The 20486-nt window shown below is 40.8% G+C and overlaps 1 long non-coding RNA gene across 6 annotated transcripts in view, besides 2 other annotated features; it reads right to left on the reverse strand.

The window, feature by feature from the left end:
- Positions 1-20486, reverse strand: part of INCR1 (interferon stimulated noncoding RNA 1) — a 172297-nt gene that overhangs the window by 124542 nt on the left and 27269 nt on the right. For 2 of the 6 annotated variants that reach the window (XR_007061404.1, XR_007061408.1), the window contains exon 3: positions 18838-18857. The exons of the other annotated variants lie outside the window; for them this stretch is intronic. This is a non-coding gene — a long non-coding RNA (interferon stimulated noncoding RNA 1). The remainder of the gene's footprint in view (positions 1-18837; positions 18858-20486) is intronic. 6 annotated transcript variants of the gene reach the window in all.
- Positions 7931-8120: an enhancer, noted in NCBI's record as "active region_28172". NCBI's record gives its function as "activates an Ori minimal core promoter by ATAC-STARR-seq in GM12878 lymphoblastoid cells {active_cell/tissue: GM12878}" and the evidence as "EXISTENCE:reporter gene assay evidence [ECO:0000049][PMID:35858748]".
- Positions 12180-12299: an enhancer, noted in NCBI's record as "active region_28173". NCBI's record gives its function as "activates an Ori minimal core promoter by ATAC-STARR-seq in GM12878 lymphoblastoid cells {active_cell/tissue: GM12878}" and the evidence as "EXISTENCE:reporter gene assay evidence [ECO:0000049][PMID:35858748]".

The following is a 20486-nucleotide window of genomic DNA, read 5'->3' on the forward strand; positions in this document are numbered from 1 at the left end:
CCAAACACTGCATGTTCTCACTTACAAGTGGGAACTGAATGATGGAACACATGAGCACATGGGGGGAACAAAACACACTGGGGCCTGTCAGAAGCGGGGGTAGGAGGAGGGAGACCATCAGGAAAAATAGCCAATGGACGCTGGGCATTAGGTAATGGGATGATCTGTGCAGCAAACCACTATGGCACACGTTTACCTATGTAACAAACCTGCACATCCTGCACATGTACCCCTGAACTTAAAATAAAAGTTAAAAAAAATTTAGAATGGGAAAAAAGGACAGAAGGAAGTATGCTAAAATATGAATAAGATTTTGTTAAAGTGTTGGGGTTGTATGTAATTTCCTTCTTTTCTCTGTTTTACAAGATGTTTTGTAACGTAGTATAGTAACTTTCATAAAATGTTATTTTAAGTAGTTTTCCTCTGTGACATGGAAATGAGATCTCTGTAGAGCTTACTGAAGAAACATCATGGTGTTCAGAAACAGCAATGGTACTCCTGGCAATATGTGTTATTAGGAATATGAATATCTGTCAATTGTTTACAAAATTTTGGGGGATCCCTCTAAGGAGTTTTTTTCTTAAAGTTGAGAAAAAAAACCCTAAAAGCTCATTTTCTTTCCTTTCTTCCTCTCCTTTGTTTTCTCAACTATAAAATTAGAATGGCAATAACAGTGGCTATCTTTGTCAATGTCATGAGATTATGGGTAATTTTTTTCTTTATATTCTTCTTGTATTTGAAAAGCTTAAAAAATAAACATTTTAAATTCAAAAAAAATCTTTAAGCAATTCTTTAAAAATATTTTGAAATTTTAGAATTTCAGCATCTGCTTATTATAAATCAAAAGGTCACATAAATGGCAGATATAATGTTTCTGGGGCAGAATTTTTAGATGCACAACTTGTGTTTTTTCCCTATGTCAAGTACAAACTTTCACCTGTGTTTTTATGAGAATCTAAAGAGAAACTACAAGAAAAGTGTACTAAGTTAAAGTTTGAAAAGGCACTGGGTTTGCCAGCATCCTGCCTGCCTAATCAAACATCATGCAGCTCCAGCACAGAATGCATGACTGAGCTGCGTCAGAACATGTGAGGTTCATGTGATTGGAGGAGCTGCCAGCATCTTTCCACTAGTGCTCTGGGGAGTTGTCTTCAAGAACTAACGTCCTGAAGGCAGAAAACTCAAGGGTGGGGAATGAAAGGGGTCTTTCCAAAATATAAAAACTTTTCTGAGTGTTCTCAAAATGAAGACAAAGAAAGAACAGCTTCTGTGTGTGAGTATGTTATAGTGGAATGTGACATTTGAAAGCTGTTAGGGAAAATGCCAGTCTGGCAGGCTACAGCTGTATCCCCTGAGAAGCACAATGGAAAGTTTAAGTCCAGGTTGACCAGAGCCTCTACTTTCTTACACTCATCAATGAGACAGGGTGATTCACTGGACTACCCTGACACAGTCCCCTCCCTTTCAAGGCTGTGTGGCATAAAGGCAGCTCATCTAGTCCCCAGGGTGTTTCAGACTCTGTCTTAGGACTCTGAAACCCCCAGTCAGCACTGTGTACTTGTGAGAAATACAAAGTATGTATTAGATATGCTCTACCTTGAGTTTGAGGAATGTATAGTGAGCTGGAGAAATACACCACAAAAACCAAAGCTACATGCAATCAAGTGACTGATAAGTGGGACCAGACCATAAGACCCAAAGGAATTCAGGGTGGGTGGGAGCTCCCCATGGACAGGAGTAGCCCAAGAGAGCAGGGAGGGAAAGAAAAATGCAATTTGGGAGGCCGAGGCTGGCAGATCACTTGAGGTCAGGAGTTAGAGACCAGCCTGGCCAACATGGTGAAACCCCGTCTCTACTAAAAATACAAAAATTAGCCGGGCGTGGTGATGAGTGCCCACCAGTTACTTGGGAGGCTGACGCAGGGGAATTGCTTGAGCCTGGGAGGAGGAACTTCCAGTGAGCTGAGATCACGCCACTGCACTCCAGCCTGGGCGACAGAGCAAGACTCCATCTCAAAAAAAAATTTTTTTAAGTTTACAAAGCATTTTCAAATGTCTTGTTATACTAGTTGAGCCTCACTACCACCTGGTAAAGGGAGTAGAACAAATATTCACATTTTATGGATGAGGAAACTTGGGCTTATAGAAGTTAAGTAACTTGCCTAATTTATCCCATTTCTTTTTCAGTAAAGTTACCAGTTTGGGCTGGGCATGGTGGCTTACACTTGTAATCCTAGCACTTTGGGAGGCTGAGGCAGGCAGATGGCTTGAGCTCAGGAGTTCAAGACCAGCCTGGGCAACATGGCAAAACCCTATCTCTACAAAAAATACAAAAATTACCCAGGTGTGATGGTGCACGCCTGCAGTCCCAGCTACTGGGGAGGCTGAGGTGGGAGGATCGACTGAGCCCAGGAGGTTGAGGCTGCAGTAAGTTGTGAATACACCACCACACTCTAGCCTAGGAAACAGAATGAGACCCTGTCTCAAAAAGAAAAAAAAAAAGTTACCAGTTTGGTAGCTTAGGGAGTTACAAGTTTGGTAGCTCATGGAGTTGCCATAGACATAGAATATATTGATTTTTAATCACAGCACACAACAAGATGTACATTTATATCCTTGTGAGTAAGTGAATATGGTTGAGAGAAGAGGTTAGGTTGACAAAGCAACTACTAAAAAATTGTCTTTTTCCCTCTGTCTTATGGGTAACTTGGATGAAAACATAGAAGATGAGCTTATAATATATGATGATTAATAAAGTAGGGAGAGAGAGTCAGTTGGATAGAAGAGTTTCTATTTCAAAATCCCAGGTTGCCACAGTGGCTCACACCTGTAATCTCAGCATTTTAGGAGGCCGAGGCGGGCAGATCACTTGAGGTCAGGAGTTCAATACCAGCCTGGGCAACATAGCAAAACTCCATCTCTACAAAAAATACAAAGATTAGCCAGGTGTGGTAGTGTGTGCCTGTGATCCCTGCTAATTGGGAGGCTGAGGTGGGAGGATCGCTTGAGCCCGGGAGGTTGAGGCTGCAGTGAGCCAAGATTGTACCACTGCACTCCAGCCTGTACAACAGCATGACGCCCTGCCTCAAAAAATAAAAATAAAAAATAAAAAAATTAAGTCCCAGGTTGAATCACGAGGTCAAAACCAAAGAGGTAGAATGAAAGGTCCTGCTTTTGATCCACACACCTAAGATGGAAGAGCAGTTTATTAGCAGTTAATATGAAAAAGTTCTGGGGATTTAATAGAAAAGAATTTAAACAGTATCATACTCATAAACTACAAATGTGCCCTAAGTACAAATGCAGGTTGAATTGAAATCCAATTGCTTAAAAACTAAGGAGGTTGGGCATGGTGGTTCATGCCTATAATCCCAGCCCATTAAGAGGCCAAGGCAGGTGGATCACTTGAGCCCAGGAGTTTGAGACCAGCCTGGGCAACATGGCGAAACTGCGTCTCTATAAAAAATACAAAAATTAGCTGGGCGTGATGGCGCACACTTGTAGTCCCGATACTAGGGAGGCTTAGGTAGGAGGATCACCTGAGCCCAAGGAGATCAAAGCTGCAATGGGCCATGACCTCACCACTGCACTCCAGCCTAGGCAACAAAGTGAGACCCTGTCTCAAAACAAAACAAAAACACTAAGGAGAACTTCAGCAGTGTTGACAGGACACTGTTCAGAACTGGGAACAAATAGTCCTATGGAACCTACTATGTCTAGGCCAGCCTACCTCTAGAATATTTTGTTCTATTCTGGGCCCGACTTGTTAATTGGGACATGAATAAATGAGAGTAGATCTAGAGGGAAGCACCCAAGATGGCAATCGGGCTTGAAGCCACCCCTAGACTAGGAATATTGGAAGAAGCTGGGCGCATTTCTCCTGGAGAAGAATTATCAAGGGAAGACATGAGAGCCAAGATCAATGGGTGCAAGTTACATTGAAGAAGAATTTGGCCCAGAAATGGAAAGAATTCACTAACAACTAGAGCTGTTCATCAAAGGTTAACCTCCTGGTTCCTGGATATATCTACATAGCCTGGAGCTACCATTTTTCAGGATACTCTGGAAAGTATTCTTCCCTTAGGTGATGAATTACAAATCTTCTTACTCTAAGATCCCATAATTCTTCAAACTAGACACTTAACTCCTATGAGCCTCAGTTTCCTGAGAAGACTAAAATGAAATGGCTTGTAAATCCCCTTCCAGCTCTAACTTTCTATGAAGTACTTGGTCCTAAAGGGTACCCTCGTTTATGTTTCACAGAGATACCAGAAACAGGAGTCTTTTATCTTCAACTTGACTCTCAAGATGTTATCCTCAAGTGAACTTTTTTCTACCAGCTGAAATATGTCCTTAAAATCTTTGAGTCAATGAATCATGAAATGAGCCAGGTTTTCAAATCTCATTTGTAGGGTTCCTTAAGAACTATGTCCACTTGCCACATTCTTTTCTGAATATTATTCTTTTTTTCTTCAACCCTGTTTTTTAACCCAAACATCCTGTTTTCAAACATCCTGTTTTCAACCCTCTTTGTATCTAAGGATGGAACAAGGCTGATGACACAGACAAGAAACTTGTAAAACATAGCAAGTATCTGCCTTTTATTTGGTGAATAATGTCAGGACTAGAGAAGGGCTGATGTGAAATTCTGGGCTGGGCTTTAAGGCTTTAAGGCATAGTTTTGCCTCAAAGAATTGCCTCCACACAGGACAAGTCACTGTAAGCAAAGTATGTGGCTGCATCTGGACATGACAGGAGGTGAGCTGGGAAGTCCCTGCCCTTTCCCTGCACATGCACTTACCCCATTTCTCCATCTTTCTACCTCAACACTTCACCTTCAGAGATAATTTCTTTCAGGCCTCAAAGCATTTTTAGACTTTAAGTTCTTTTGTTGCTGTTTATTAGCTCAACCAGGGCCATGTACCAGAACCTGGGGGAAAGGGCCATTTCTATGGAAATGGAGATAGGGTCCAGGCCTATCCTGAGAAAGTGCAATCATGAGGAGACCATCCTGTTCTTTCTCATGTATTTTATCATTCATTTGGTACTAAGCACTGTACTAGGCACCAAGATAGATAGTAAAACATCAGCCTTGTCTTCAAAGGGTTTGCAGATCACAGAAGCCCTCTCTCTCTCTCATCTTTTACATAGATGATATCCTATATAACAAGAAGAGATGTCACAGGATGACTAAAACAGGCAAAGCAGCTGGAATATGTGTGTGGCTGGGGCAGCCCATGACAGGGCCTTAACCCTAGTAATGACGCTGACAGCTTTAGTCACTGAGGGGAGTGGCCAGAACCTGCTGGTTTGGTCAATGGGGGACAACAATCAAGTAAGGGAAAAGTGATCTTATAAGGACTGGAGGGAAGTCAACAGAAAATCTCAGCCAAGTGCCATACATTTTTTTCTATAGAGTTCTATATTTTCTGGAACTCATATACAGAATTAAGTAAGAGTCACCCTGGGCTATATTGGTAAGGGCAAAGAGCTGGAATTTCTTACAACTTTATTTTGAAGCCTCAAGCAGCGGAAGGCAGATGGAAGAAGTAACATGTGGTGGTGGTTCTCAGAATTTTTACCACCCCCAAAACATGGAAGATAATTCCTCACTCTCCGGTCAGTAACAACCACTGACTTCTGCAAAGATTCACAGCCATTTGGGGTACATATCAGAATATCATGGAGAAGCAGGAAGTGGGGAGCAATTTCATAAAGCTTCCTACTTGAGTCTAATATAACCCTTTCCTACCTGCCCTGAGATCTATAGGTAGCTTGCCTGAGTTGAATCCAGCTCTGCCATTAACCAGCTGCATGACTACAGACAAGTCGTTCTCTTTGAACCTTAGTTTCCTCATACATAAAATAACGAACCTTACCTGGCAGTGTTATTGAGAGGAACTACAGAACCTATCACAGTTAGTATATAGCAATATAGCCAGATCTTTTTTTTTTTGTTTTTGAGACAGAGTCTCACTGTGTTGCCCAGGCTGGAGTGTAGTGGCACGCTCTTGGCTCACTGCAACCTCTACCTTGCAGGCTCAAGCGATTTTCTTGCCTCAGCCTCCCAAGTAGCTGGGATAAAGACACCCACCACCAAGCCCAGCTAATTTTTGTATTTTTAGTAGATATGGGGTTTCACAGTGTTGGCCAGGCTGGTCTCAAACTCTTGACCTCAAGTGATCCGCCTGTCTCGTCCTCCCAAAGTGCTCGGATTATAGGCATGAGCCACTGCGCCTAGCCCATAAAGCTAGATCTTAATGAGCAATTAGCTACTAGTACAATAATTTGTTTTAAAAGCTATATTATAGGATAACAGAGTCTACTCAGTCAGCCTTTATGCAAAAGTGAAAATCTTGGGATTCTCAGAAATATGCTCTCAACAGTAAATGCCCTATGTAACAAGGTGCACCAGCTTAGGCTGGGGCCATTGGGCCCATAAAATCTTCATTGTTAAAGTTAAGAAGTTGGGTACAAGGACAGAGAAAAGCTACTATTCCCAAGTTGCCAAATTAAAAAAATTACCTATCTGGAAGGTAAATTTTTTTTACCCCTTAACAGATCTTTAAGTGTATAATAGAAGGGAGATTCAAAATTTACATTTGAAACTGATTGTTTGAGGGGAAAAAATCTAAATAAAAATTTTAACAATCATATAAATATAAAGCCAAGATCTTAATCTGGAATGGGAAGGTTAAGACCATTCATTAATTCAACAAATATTTACTGAGCAGCCCTGAGACTGTTTTCCTTGGGGTCTGGGAAGGGGAGCCATGGTCAATGGACTCTTGTTATCTGTAGGAATATTGATCCCTACCACAAGGTAGAGGGACAGGGAATAAAGGGGAGATAGTCCTCCTATGAGATAAAGGTAGGGGATGTTCTACAGGGCCCAGTTTTATATTTTTCTTTTCTGCCTTGTTATTTCTTCTCATGATTTTCTTTCAGTAAAATCTCTTTCCCACATCTCTTTCAGTAAAATTTTGTTAAATGATAGTCTTGTTCTCTGTTTTGGGGAATTACAAGATGGACTCTTAATGGGGCTCTATTAGTAGATGGTAAGAATTCCTGGGAATTTCCAGAAATTCTTTGGGAAAAGTCAGAGACTAATCTTCTCACAGTTACATAAGGGGATGAAGCTGAAAGTTATTTGGGCATTAATTAGAAGTGTGGCCCACTGAAGGCTGGTGAAATCTGGACACCTCTGCTATACATGGTCCTTGTGGATGGTTTGAATGATATTCCCAAATTGGCTGGGCACATTCCCATGATATCAGGCCGATGGGCATTAAAAATGCAAATTAGTTCACATGCTGGGGTACAATGCCCTGAACCAGCTGACTTTAATGGACTGCAGATTGCCAATCCAAGGCTATGTTCTTTCATTCCTTTCCTTGCCTTACTTACTTATCATTCATCCTTCCCCTAAGTTCTCTTGGGCCTATTGCCCAAATAAAAGTGAAGAAGAAATTAACACATATGAAAGCGTGCTATGCTAAGTACCATGTGGGGTGTGTTTTGCATGAATTATTTTACTTAACCCCTTACAACACCTTGGCAAGATAGGCAGGATTATCCCCATTTTATTGATGAGAAATGAAAGCTGAGAGTCCTATCTCCCAAGTAACACAGCCAGGTATTATAACAGTCCTGGGGTCCACATACAGGCTTACATAACTCCAAAGTTCTTTACATCATACCACCAAGAAAAATGTATTTTAAGATTCACCTAATTAAAACATAATTAAGAAGAACAATGTATTGGGAGAGATGCTTACTGTTTCTAAGCAAACATACGTGATTGCCTATCAATGAACAATGACCTCAAGCTGTAACTCAAACCGGAGCTGCAGGGGGCTCAGATTCAAACACTTCCTCTCCACTTACAAAACTGCCACAAAGGAAAATGAAATGGTAAAAGGCAGTTTCTGCCAAATCTTGGCAAAACCAGCTAAACTTTCTTGGTCAGTGGGAGTAGAAGGGGTGATATCTCTCTGTCCTGAGGAATCAAAAAGTTGCCTACCAGGTTAATACATAATACAAATCTGACATTTCAAACACAAGTTGTTTTACATATCTGGGCTCAACAGTTTAAGTTTACAAAATATCCCCACCCATCCAAAATCATGTGTCCATATAAAGGCACATCTGTGGTCTACAGTTGGATAATTCACAGCCCTCTTATCTAGCACTGGTCATTAGAAATTAGGGCGGCTGTGTTACACAACCATGCAGATGGTGCCCCCTAGTGTTGCACAATGACAAAGCCCTGAAAGCAACCACCTGAAAGCACAATCTAGACGGGTGCTTCTCAAACGGACTGTGGTAAAAAATTGTTGTTACTTTGTTTTTTTCAACCTCCAATCCTTCACAGACCAATACTTTTAAAAGCTATAATAAAAATAATTTAGCAGAAAAATTAAATAAGTAAAGGTATTACAAATAGAAGACTTAATCTTTTTAACCATTAGATTCAATAGACTTAAAATTATTCTGTGAAATTGCTCTAAAGTTTCTACACTCAGTTCCTTTGCAGACCAGGAACAACAGTTTGTGGATGGGCACGAATGCACAGATCACGCTTTGACAAACACTATACTGCTTCACTTTTTTTCTTTCTTTTTTTTTTTTTTGAGACAAAGTCTCACTCTGTCGCCCAGGCTGGAGTGCAGTGGCGCGATCTTGGCTCATTGCAACCTCCGCCTCCCGGGTTCAAGCCATTCTCCTGCCTCAGCCTCCCAAGTAGCTGGAATTACAGGTTTGTGCCACCACTCCCAGCTAAATTTGTATATTTAGTAGAGACGGGGTTTCACCATGTTAGTCAGGCTGATCTCAAACTCCTGACTTCAGGTGATCCGCCCGCCTCGGCCTCCCAAAGTGCTGGGATTACAAGCATGAGCCACCACACCTGGCCCATTGCTTCACTTTCAGTTACAAAGACTTACCATGGGTTCCTTCTAAGGTACATTGAACCACTTGACCCTCAATGTGGTGTCCACCTATCAATTAACTACAAATTCTTTCTTTCCTCTTTTTTTTTTTTTTTTTTTAACTCAAGCAACCCACAGGCCGGTTTAAAGTGGTCTTTAATTACTGAAGACTTTCCCTTATTTAAAGAAATAGGGGAAACTTGGAGGTCTAGATTAGATTTCTTTCCAACGGTTGCTATGTAACTTTGTGACATTTGAAAGATTAAAGTTGCTTCTGACGGCACTACAGTAGAACCTCAATATTTGCATGTTTCTTCCTTAAATTTCCCCTTTCCCTGACACTGTACATACACTTTCTAAAATTTGTTTTTTAATTTTTACTTTTCACTTTTCAATTTTTAAGGAAATAGAGATGGGGTTTCACCATGTTGCCCAGGCTGGTCTCAAACTCCTGGGCTCAAGCGATCCACTCGCCCCAGCCTCCCAAAGTGCCTGGCCCCTGTAGGTACACTGTTAACAGAATCAGATACCAGTAGGAAAATGGTAAAAAGAGAATATGTAAGCAGAGATACCAATTTGTGGTAAGCATTCAAATTGGTTCTTATGTAGTCCTATTGTGGAATTTGATTTAAAAGCCAAAACAGACATCACTATATGTCCCCTTTATATCTTTCCTTCATCATCCTTGTTTTGTGGTAATATGCTTCTCTATCATCCATTGATAATAGAATTACAACATTATGGATTTTCTATGCTGATTTATCAGAAATAGATTGGGGTAATGGTGTTATTTCTCTTCTGTTTTCCCTCCCACAAAGTTTCCCTCTGTGCACCTCAAACTTACTCTTTAACCTAATCTTCTTTTGAGGGAAATTACTCAATGGTTTTTAGGGAATCAACTGAGCTCTGACCTCAGGGATCCACCAAAATCAGCCAGCCCTTCACTCAGTCAAGTTCAATAATTATTTTCCACAGGTGCTAAAACCCCAGTTGAACCTGGATATTTTCCCCCTTAATATCCCCTTTAGAGAAAAAGAATCAGAGAATCCCACATGTAGAGGAGTGAGCAGATAACAGAAACCCTGAAGCCTTCCAGATTTAACTGTTCCTGCTGTTCCAATGAGCCACCTGAGGCCACAGCGGGAGAAGATTTAACACAGGAAAGACAGTGGCTTTTACGGGCTTTGGAGAAGGGCCAGGGTCTCAAGGGAGATCAGAAAGTGTGTAGAAAGCCCTGTCGTTACTAGGAAAATGCAGGTATCAGTGCCTGACAGACAGTAGGTGCTCAATATATACATTATATAACCGAATGGTACAGTGAATTGGCAAAAGAAAAAAAGCAGAAAAGATGAAAGTGAAGCTAGGACAGGTAGAGATGGGATTACCTTTCTTTCCTCCTAGCATCTTTTTTAAGGGTTATTTCTTTTTATTTTCCAGCTGCCCCAGGGTGATTTTCAGTCACTATCTCCAGGCTGAAGCCTTCTTGATCATTCCTTTTTCCAACCTTAGTGATAGCTAGCCTAGGAATGCTACAACTCCCAGGTGGAGATTCAGGTTAAGCGAGACTGGGTCGTAAGAAAAAAAGATGGAGAGAAAAGGAAAGGGAAGCAGAGGAGTCTGCATTCTGCATTCTCTTCCTTCCGTTTTAATTTTGCCAGTTGTTATGGGCAAGTTAAATTCTTCTCATGTCTCTGTTTTTCATAACTGGGAATTATAGTTAATATAACTGAGGCACAACTGATAGTAGATCTGTGAAAGCATAAAGGGAAATATAGTGTTCAGCAATATCTAAGGAATATGCTTCAAAGCAAACCTTTGCTTCTTACCAGGTGTCACCTAAACCAGCGCTACTCACACTTTGATGTGCAACATAATACACCTAGAGATCTCATTAACATGCAGGTACTGATTCAGTAGGTCTTGGATGGGGCCCAATATTCTGCAATTCTAACAGTTGCCTGGTGATATGGTTTGGATGTTTGTCCCCTCCAAATCTCGTTGAGATGTAATCCCCCGTGTTTGAGGTGGGGCCTGGGTGGGAGGTGTTTGGATCATAGGAGTAGAACCCTCATGAATGTCTTAGTGCCATCCTCTCGGTGGTGAGTTCTTACTCTGAGTTCTTGCTCACCCATAAAAATCCCTAAACTATGTACGAGGCTTGGAGAACTTCTGGGTTGGTGAACACATTCACATGCCAGGAGGGTGATGCACCCCAACTCTAAGGGGAGTGGCGGCCCTTCCGGACCTTGCTCTGTGTACTTGTTCATCTGGTTGTTCATCTGTATCCTTTACAATAAACCAGTAAATGTTAAGTTAAAGCATCTGAGTTCTATGAGCCATTATAGCAAATTATTGAATGTAAGGAAGGGGTCTTGGGAATGCCCAACTTGTAGCCAAGTTTGACAGAAGCGTGAGTAACCTGGGACTCACCATTTGTGACTGACATCTGAAGTGGGAGAAGTCTTGTGGAACAGAGCCCTTAACCTGTGGGGTCTGATGCTGATCCCAGGTAGACAGGGTCAGAAGTGAGTGAATTGAATTGAAGGACATCCAGCTGGTGTCTGGAGAGCTGGAGAACTGGTTGTTGGTGTGGAAAAACAAAATACGTTTGGTATCAGCAGTATTGTGGGTAGAGTGATACAGTTTTTGTTTTAGGCTGAATTTGGAAACCCAAATGGATAGGCAATCTTGATACAATCTTTTCAATGGGGCTGATTTGATTGCTTTTCTTTTTTTCTTTTTTTGAGACAAGGTCTCACTATATTGCCCAGGCTGGCCTCGAACTCCTGGACTCAAGCAATCCTTCTGCCTCAGCCTTCCAAAGTGCTGGGACTATAGGCATGAGCCACAGTGCCCAGCCCTGATCTGCTTTTCAAGAATTCCTCAGTTGTTGCCATGTAACTGTCTCTCTGACAAGACTGTAAGCTTCCAGGAGTTGGGATCAAGACTTAGCCACTTGCACCTCTCTGGGACTGTGGGATGCTGTGTGAAATGTAGTAGGTACTGGATTTGCAGGGAGTTTTCAGCTGTCAAGGGCCTTGGTAAAATAAGGAAGTGCAAGGGGCCAATAATTCTTGGCTAAAATATCCAGAATTTCACTCTGGGACTGTAAAAGAGATTCCTCTGAGAAACTTGCTAATATCTTGCAAAACCTCAATCCAGGTTTTGTCTTCTTACATCACCTTGTTCTCATTTAGGTCAGTTTCTGAAGATGCAACTGTGGTTTTGCAGTAAGGGGAACTGAGAATCTTGAATACTGCATGTTATCACGTGACTTCAGGATGAAATATCATTCAAAACAAAACATAAATTAAACGTATTCACACAGAGAGAAAAAGCAAAGCCTAAATTAAATACATTCACACATAGAGAAAACAGAGTATGGTAAGATATCCAAATTTCCAAATTTCCATTTTTCTCTTTGAAGAATTTAATCCTAGATCTCCATAGCCTCAGGTCCAGTATAGCAAACAGCTGGGAAGCTGTTTGACAGCACTTTGGGCCTAGTATCTTGGATCTTTTCATCTAAGAGATTGTCTACTTATCTAGGACCAGACTTGCTCAGAGTGATGTGGAATCATTTTCGAAAAGAATAGAGATAAGGTCTTTCTGACACATCATGAAATTTAACACTGATGACCACCCAAGGACCTATGCTAGAGTCAAGATTTGGGGCCAGGCATGGTGACTCACGCTTGTAATCCCAGAACTTTGGGAGGCCGAGGCAGGAGGATCACTTGAGCCCAAGGGTTCAAGACTACCCTGGACAACACAAACCCTCATCTCTGAAAAGATAAAAATTAGCCGGCATGGTGGTCACACCTATAGTCCCTGCTACTCAGGAGGCTGAGGCGGGAAGATTGCTTGAGCCTGGGTGGTTGAGGCTGCAGTGAGCCATGATCACACTACTATACTCCAGCCTGGGGAACAGAGTGAAACCCTGTGTTGGGGGGACAAAAAAACTGAATTGGGTAATTGCAAAATTTTTCTTTTTAAGGCAATAAAAAAATACTGACTTCATGTATTTATTCCCTGGGTTATTTCTGGAAGGCAGTCAAGCTAGTTAATTTATTTTCCTTTTTAAAGAAAATAAGCCAAAATAAACCAAAAGAAAAAGAAAAAGAATATAAGCCAAATAGCAAACATTAATTTTTTTCAGATTTCAATTGTTTAAAATGCATGTTCATTTTTGAAAAATTTAGAAAGCATAAAAGAGTTCAAAAAAGAAGGATCCCTCCAAATGTCACCAACTAGGCACAATCTTACAGATAATCTTGCTATAGTTTTTCAAATCTTAGAGAAAATCAACACATGAAAAACTGTGTTCATATATTCACCAGGTGAACCAAATGCAAGCTATACTCTTATACTCTGTGGACCAGGGGAACAAGACAAGTAAAAAAATCCAGAAATCTTACATGTCAAAATAAAAATTAAGGATATATGTAAAAATTGGTAATTACTTTAAATGAATGAGAGTTCACACTTCATAATCTCACATGACTAGATTTTTAAAAATAGATTGAAAAGTTTTGATGCACTTGTTTGATGTTTCTACATCTTGGAGGAAAGCTGAAAGCACTTGATACTGGTGGTGTATAGACACACACCTACTCCAATCCACCTGGAGAAGTTAGAGAAACCCCAGAACATGATTTATCAAGTAATTCAGTATCATTTTTTTGAAAAAGTTTGGCTGGAAAATTTCTTACTTACAATACCAGTTATAAGACATTTCTTCTGGCTGTCCACAACATTTTCCTTCTTACATAGCTCCTCTTTCTTAACCTCTTTACCTGGTTCTCAGAAGAAATCTGCAGTGATCTAACTAACTCTGATAACCACATAACGGGCAGATGAATTTATTACCATATGGTATGGAACTGCTTTAAAGCTGAGTTCTGAAGTTTGATTTAAATATCTAAGTTTGAGTCAATATGTGTGCCTTGGCATGTAAAAATAACAGCAACAACAACAAACACTTTTTGTAAAGTTCTTACCATGTGTCAGGCACTATTCTATGTGCTTTATAAATACTAACTTATTTAATCTTTATAACATAATCCTCCTATGAGCTAGATACCATTATTGTCCCCAGTTTACATATAAGGCACAGAGAGTAATTTGCCCGAAGTCACAGAGCTTGTAAGTAGCAAAGCCAGGCTAAGAGCACAGCAGTCTGTCTCCAGAGTCCATACCTCTAATACACATGACTGTCTCATCCAGCAATCTATTTCTCCAGTTGAAAAATTACATTGATTCCTCCTACTCACCCTCCTCCCTCAAAATACCTACTTCTGTAATTAAATGCCACATCAATAAAGCATATTCTCTAACAACCCCCTTAGGTCCATGGAAGAAGCTGGCTATTTGCCAATGAAGCCTTGTTCACTCCCCATCTGGAAAGGCCTGGTGGCAAGTAAGATTCATGTTACTCAAGGGAGGAAGGGGAGTTTTCCTGTTCATTTAGCATAAAGAGTCTCTTAAGTCAAAAAATTTCCTTCCTCCTCTTTCCAGTGTCACCAGTCACACGTGAGAAAGTCATCTCGGTATCAACTTCACATGATCTGCCTCAAACAAAGACAGTTCATGTGCTCTTGATATAGCATTTCTTGCTTCAACTTCACTGCTAACTGCATGTTTCATCTACAGGGAGAGTTTACAGAAATTAGCATGAATTATATAAACTCTGATACTTGGTGATGTAGATAGATCTCATCAGCTTTCATTTTCTTTGCTGGGAGTGTAATCAACATGATTAAAGCAAAGAAAGAAACTCTCAAGTCATTGTATTAACTATTCTGTTCTCTGGATGAGACAACATAAAACCTTGGGATAGTAGAGCTGGAACAGAAATCCAACATCATCCCCCACATTTCACAGATAAGGAAACAGAGTCCCAGAGGGAATTTGTGATGTACATGATAACACAACTAATTTGTGACTTTAAAAAAACTCCTTTTTGGTTTATTTTTAAGAAAAAGAATAGAAATTAACTAACCATATAGAAATAGCTTATGGAATAAGGTTCATGTGGAGCCACCATTTTTTATTGTCTTACACAGAGGTAACTGCAATTATTACACCCCACCACACTCACCCAGTGGCAGGCCAACTAGGGCCCTAGGGCTTACACAGCCCCATGAAAAGGGAGGAGGGCCTGGTCTTTGGTCCCTCAGGTCATTGGGCTGGTCCTTTGGAATTTGGTAGGCCCTACTGCCCTTGGCAGACTGCAGAGATGCTCCCACAAAGTTCTCTCTTTTGACCACAGGTCCTCCACAAGGAATTCTTGCCACTGCTTTGGGGGCCAGAGCACTCAGGCCAGGCCACCACAGACATCTACCTATGCCTCTCCCACTGCAAGTGTCATAGTCTTTGGAAAACTATGCAAAAGTGTGATAACATCCCAAAGCCTTATAGAACCTACTGCAAACCTGTTCCCCCAAGTCCCTATCCAGGACAGTCTCAGGCATTCTCCTTTCCGTTAGGGTCAGGCCACTTCCTTTCGTCTTCTCCTCCAAACTCCAGTTCTTACCATCACAGAGACTTTCTAAAGCAAAGGTTGTAATGCATTTCTGAGACTAGGAAGCCCTCACCACCCAGACATAAAGCCTGAGCTAATAATCTCTCTGTTTCAGGGAGAGACTATAGCAGAAAACAGAGATTCCTGTTATCCTGAACCAATTATTTGTATAACTGTATGTTTAATACCTGATTCTCTTTGGAGTAAAAATTTCATGAATTGAGTATTAGGATTACGTTAAGGTTGCAGTTGGCTTTAGGATCCCTCTGTCTTATTCACTTTTGCATCCCTGTGCCAGTTCAAGGCCTGATAAATAACAGCCACTCAATACATATTTGCAGAGCAAAGAGAGAAAGAGAGGGAGGGGAGGGAGAGAGAGTGGGAAAGACTAACCAAAGTTCTGCAATGGCCCACAGAAATATGAGTATGAGTTAAGGCAATCTCAAAGGAGATAGAGAAAAAGGGATGGGAATGAAGATGAAAACTATTAAGAATTAATAATCTACAGGGCTTGATAAGAAATTTGATGTGGATGATGTGGAAGAGACCAGTCAAGGATAATTCTGAGATGTGTTAATTGATCCACCTGAATGTGATGTGGGCTTGTGAGAGGAAGATGGGGTTTGGTTTTGTTGGTAAAGGATGGTGAATGGTGGAGGGGTTATGGACAATGAATCCAGTTCAGGAAATATTTGTGGGTCTCACTGTTTTAAGTATATGTGAACAGGAATATCAGAATGAAACTGTGAAGTGGGTGAAGTTATCTTCAGAAACTCCCTTTCATTTAGGCCCCATTTCACATATCAAGGGATATCACATATCCCTAATTATCTGCCCTAATTTCCTATCAAGAAGTGATCTGATGATCTCACTTACATAAAAGGTAAACTACTGATGAAATAGGAGATAGCTCTCAGGCTGTGTTTTAATGTTAATAATGGAGCACAGCCACAAGCCAAAAGAATGATAAGAGCACTACTAATAAGAGTCAGTGCTTATATGGCCCTTAACATGTGGCAGGCACTTAATGCCCTTAGCAACACCATGAGGAACTATTTTATATATGAGGAAAGTGAGGCACTGAAAGGTTGTGACTTGTCCAATGTCAACAGCTAATAAGTAATGGAGTGGAAAATACAACCTAGCATTGTGGCTATACAATCCATGCTTTTAACCATGATGCTAGGAAATAAATGTGTAAGGGTGAAAATTTTAAGAAGAGTGGAAATGTGCAGTAAATTTTGTGGGGGTCCCTCAGCAAGATTCAGATCACTCCAGTCTCATAATGAAGACTATACAGGTCACTCAAGTCTCACTCTACTAACTGAGTGTTAGTAGTGTTACTAATGACATAGACTCTGCCAATGACTGACTTTAGACAACTTAATCTCTTTCTGTTTCATTTTCCTCATACATAAAATAAGGAGAAATAACCTACATACAAGGTTATTCCTTAAAGCAACATTTGTAAAAGTAAGTGACTGGAAACAACCTAAATGTCTGTTGATAGAAGGCTGGCTAAAAATTGTGCACCTATAAAATGGAATATAATGCAGCCATAAAAAGTAATAAGATTAAATTATTTCAAACAAAAGAACAGCCTGAAAAAATCAAGTTGCAGGCATAGATAAGGGAAGTTGCTCAAGAGATAAGGGGGCTTGACTAAGACATCCCCTCAGCTGCATAGATAAGAAAGACTATACAGGAGACTTGCCCAGACATACCTGCAATGGAAAATTCTGTCCCCTGACACATGTGCAGTAAGGGAAACGAAGCAACATGGAGTAATTCAAGCTAAGAGCCCACATCCACACTAGGAAGATGGGGTGGAATTACCAGAAATGCACACCTTATGCAAATGATATGACCAGCCCCCTATCCGTTTCTTATAAAAGCCTCCGTATCCAAACTGTGAATTGGCAACCTATCTTTCCAGGATCCCTCTCTGTAGCAGAGAGCTATTCTCATTCTTTCACCTATTAAATTTCTGCTCTAAACCCGAAAAAAAAAAGGTAATAAGAAAGACCCCTACATACTGCTATAGAATGATCTCTAGGATATACTATTATGTGGGATAAAAAACAACTACAGTGCAGAACAGGACATATAATATACTACAATTTGCACAAGAAAGGATAAATGGACTAGATATATTCCTTTATGCTCATATTGCATAAATACAGGAAACTTCTAAAATTGGTTGCTTCAAGAGGAGAACTGAATTGGCGTGGGACAGAGAAGTGAGGAAGGAGAACGTACCAGTTAGGATCTCAGCAGGAAATATATGGCATATTCAAAAGGCGTCATCGAGGAGTTGAGTGACAGAATTATTTACAAAGTTGTGGACAGGGCTAAGGCACCCAACAAAGGATGCTGACACTTTCCAATGGGCAACCTACAGAGGGGAATCATTATCATACCTAAGTCCTAAGGATGAAGAAGGGGAGTAAGTGGTTACTTGAATCCAGAGAGAGAGAGCTATAGGTATAAAAGGGGCTACGGGACAGAAGCCATAGCTCTTTCCTAGATGAAGTCAGCCACTGTTCATCCATAGCCCAGCAGGGAAGGCACTGGGGGAATAAATAGCCTCACCACATTCTCCTTCTGCACTTGGATCTCTGGACATCCTTAGGGATGAGCCTCTTGGGGCTCAAGGCAGAGTGGAGAGTAGATCTGAAGGCATACAGAGAGAATATCCACTGCACAGACTGTACAGCATTTTTACTTTGTAAACTTAGAACTATATAAATATGTAACTTATTTGAAAAGTAGAAAATGGCGGGGCCCAGTGGCTCAAAGTGCTAGCTTGTAATCCTAGCACATTGGGAAGCCGAGGCGGGCTGATCATCTGAGGTCAGGAGTACAAGACAAACACGGTGAAACCTCATCTCTACTAAAGATACAAAATAGCCAGGGCGGGTGGCAGGCGCCTGTAATTCCAGTTACTCGGGAGGCTGAGGCAGAAGAATCGCGTGAACCTGGGAGGCGGAGGTTGCAGGGAGCCGAGATGGCGCCATTGCACTCCAGCCCGAGCAACAAAAGCTAAACTCCGGAAAAAAAAAAAAGAAAGAAAGGAAAAGAAAAGACAAGAAAAGAGAAGAGAAGAAGAAAATTTTGCACACACAAAAGATAAATTAAAAAGTAAAACGGAAATGAGGGACCAGAGCGTATGCTTTCCAAGTCTCCTCCCTCTTCAAATTCTACCTCTGTTTCGTTGGAGCTGCAGTTTTTCACCTAATCACAGTCCATGGCTCCCCCTAGTGTCAAGGCGACGCTTCACCAAGCTCTAAGAACCATCTAATTCTAGGGGAATTCTGGGGCAGTCGGGCGGCCTCTGCCTCAAATCACTGATGTGTAAGCAGTTTTCACTGTGAATTACACCCACCTGGTAAATGATCGTATCCCCTGAAAGAAAAAAATACATTATTATGATTATTATTATTATTATTATTATTATTTGAGATGGCGTCTCGCTCTGTCGCCCAGGCTGAAGTGGTGCAATCTCAGCTCACTGCAACCTCCACCTCCCTGGTTCAAGCGATTCTCCTGCCTCAGCCTTCCGCGTAGCTGGGATTACAGGTGCCTGCCACCATGCGCAGGTAATTTTTGTATTTTTAGTAGAGACGGGGTTTCACCATGTTGGGCAGGCTGGTCTCGAACTCCTGACCTCAAGTGATCCACCCACCTTGGCCTCCCAGGGTGCTGGGATTTACAGGAGTGAGCCACCACGCCCAGCCAAAATTAATTATTCTGAGACATAGACTAGTTATCATTTTAAGCTATAGCGGAAATTTATCTAAATTAAATTTGGAACTAAGTAATTATCTTTTTCCCATATTTCAAATTATTAAATAAATTTAGAGGTAAACAGCATGTGATCTACAACTCTAAATCTGCAAGCCCACTTTTGAGCTTTTTACTCCCTAGTCCATTTGTCCTTAATGCAGTGATTCTCAGCCCTGGCTACAAAATAATGTCCCCTGGGGAGAAAGCTCCTACTGGAGACTCTAATATAATCTGTCTGGGGAGGGACTTAATATCAATATATATTTTCTAACCTCCCAGTTGTTGTAATGGGCAATCAAGGCTAGAAGCCCCTACTTAAGTGATTCCTTGCTGCCTACTAGGTAGATTTTGATTCCTAGTACATTTCTTGTCACTACTCAGGATGTGCTCACTCTGCTTTAGACAAACTGGGTTACTTGTAAAACAATTTCCCACCCTCTGTGCCCTTACATACCACACTCTCCGCCTTGAACACTCTGTCACCTGCCTCCATCTCAACTGTCATAGTTCTACATATTATTACAGGGCCTGCTTGAAGGCTACCTCCTCTGAGAATTTCCCTGCCCCTCATTCCCAAACAGATGTTTCTACCTCCTTTGAACCCCTGAAGATTTTTAAAATAACTTTTATGATCAATCTTCTTTTCTTAATAGAAAATAAACACAGTGATTGACTATTCTTTTTAACTTATCAAATGAACAATAACAACAAAGTATGATATTTCTGTGAGAGAAATGAGCACTCCCTGTATTAACAAGGGAATAAATTGGTGTTATGGCTTTTAAAAACTTAATCTGGCACTAAATGTCAAAATATATTCTGTTTGGCCCAGCGTTTTCACTCCTAGGAATTTATCCTATGGATATAATCACATGAGTGGGCAAAAATACCCATAATGGAATGCTCATTGCAGCATTGTTCATAAAAGCAAAAGATGGGAAACAACTGAAATGTCTCATTAATAGAAGACAAGTTAAATAAATTATGGCACATAATATAGATGGAATGCTGCATAGTCATTTTAGAAATGAGGTATATCTGTATTTGTGACCATAGAACAATTCTAAGACATAGCATTAAGTAGAAAAAAAAAGATCCAATACAATGTCATAGAATGCTTCTACTGTGTTTTGTATAAAAGCACAAATATACATTTGTCTGTGCTTCCAAAGCACTAGGTATCTTTGGATGGATATACAAGCAACTGTCAACAACAACTGACTCTAGGGAAGCAAACTAGTAGGTTTG

This window comes from Homo sapiens, chromosome 9 (genome assembly GCF_000001405.40).
Source record: "Homo sapiens chromosome 9, GRCh38.p14 Primary Assembly".
In the NCBI taxonomy this organism is placed as follows: domain Eukaryota; kingdom Metazoa; phylum Chordata; class Mammalia; order Primates; family Hominidae; genus Homo; species Homo sapiens.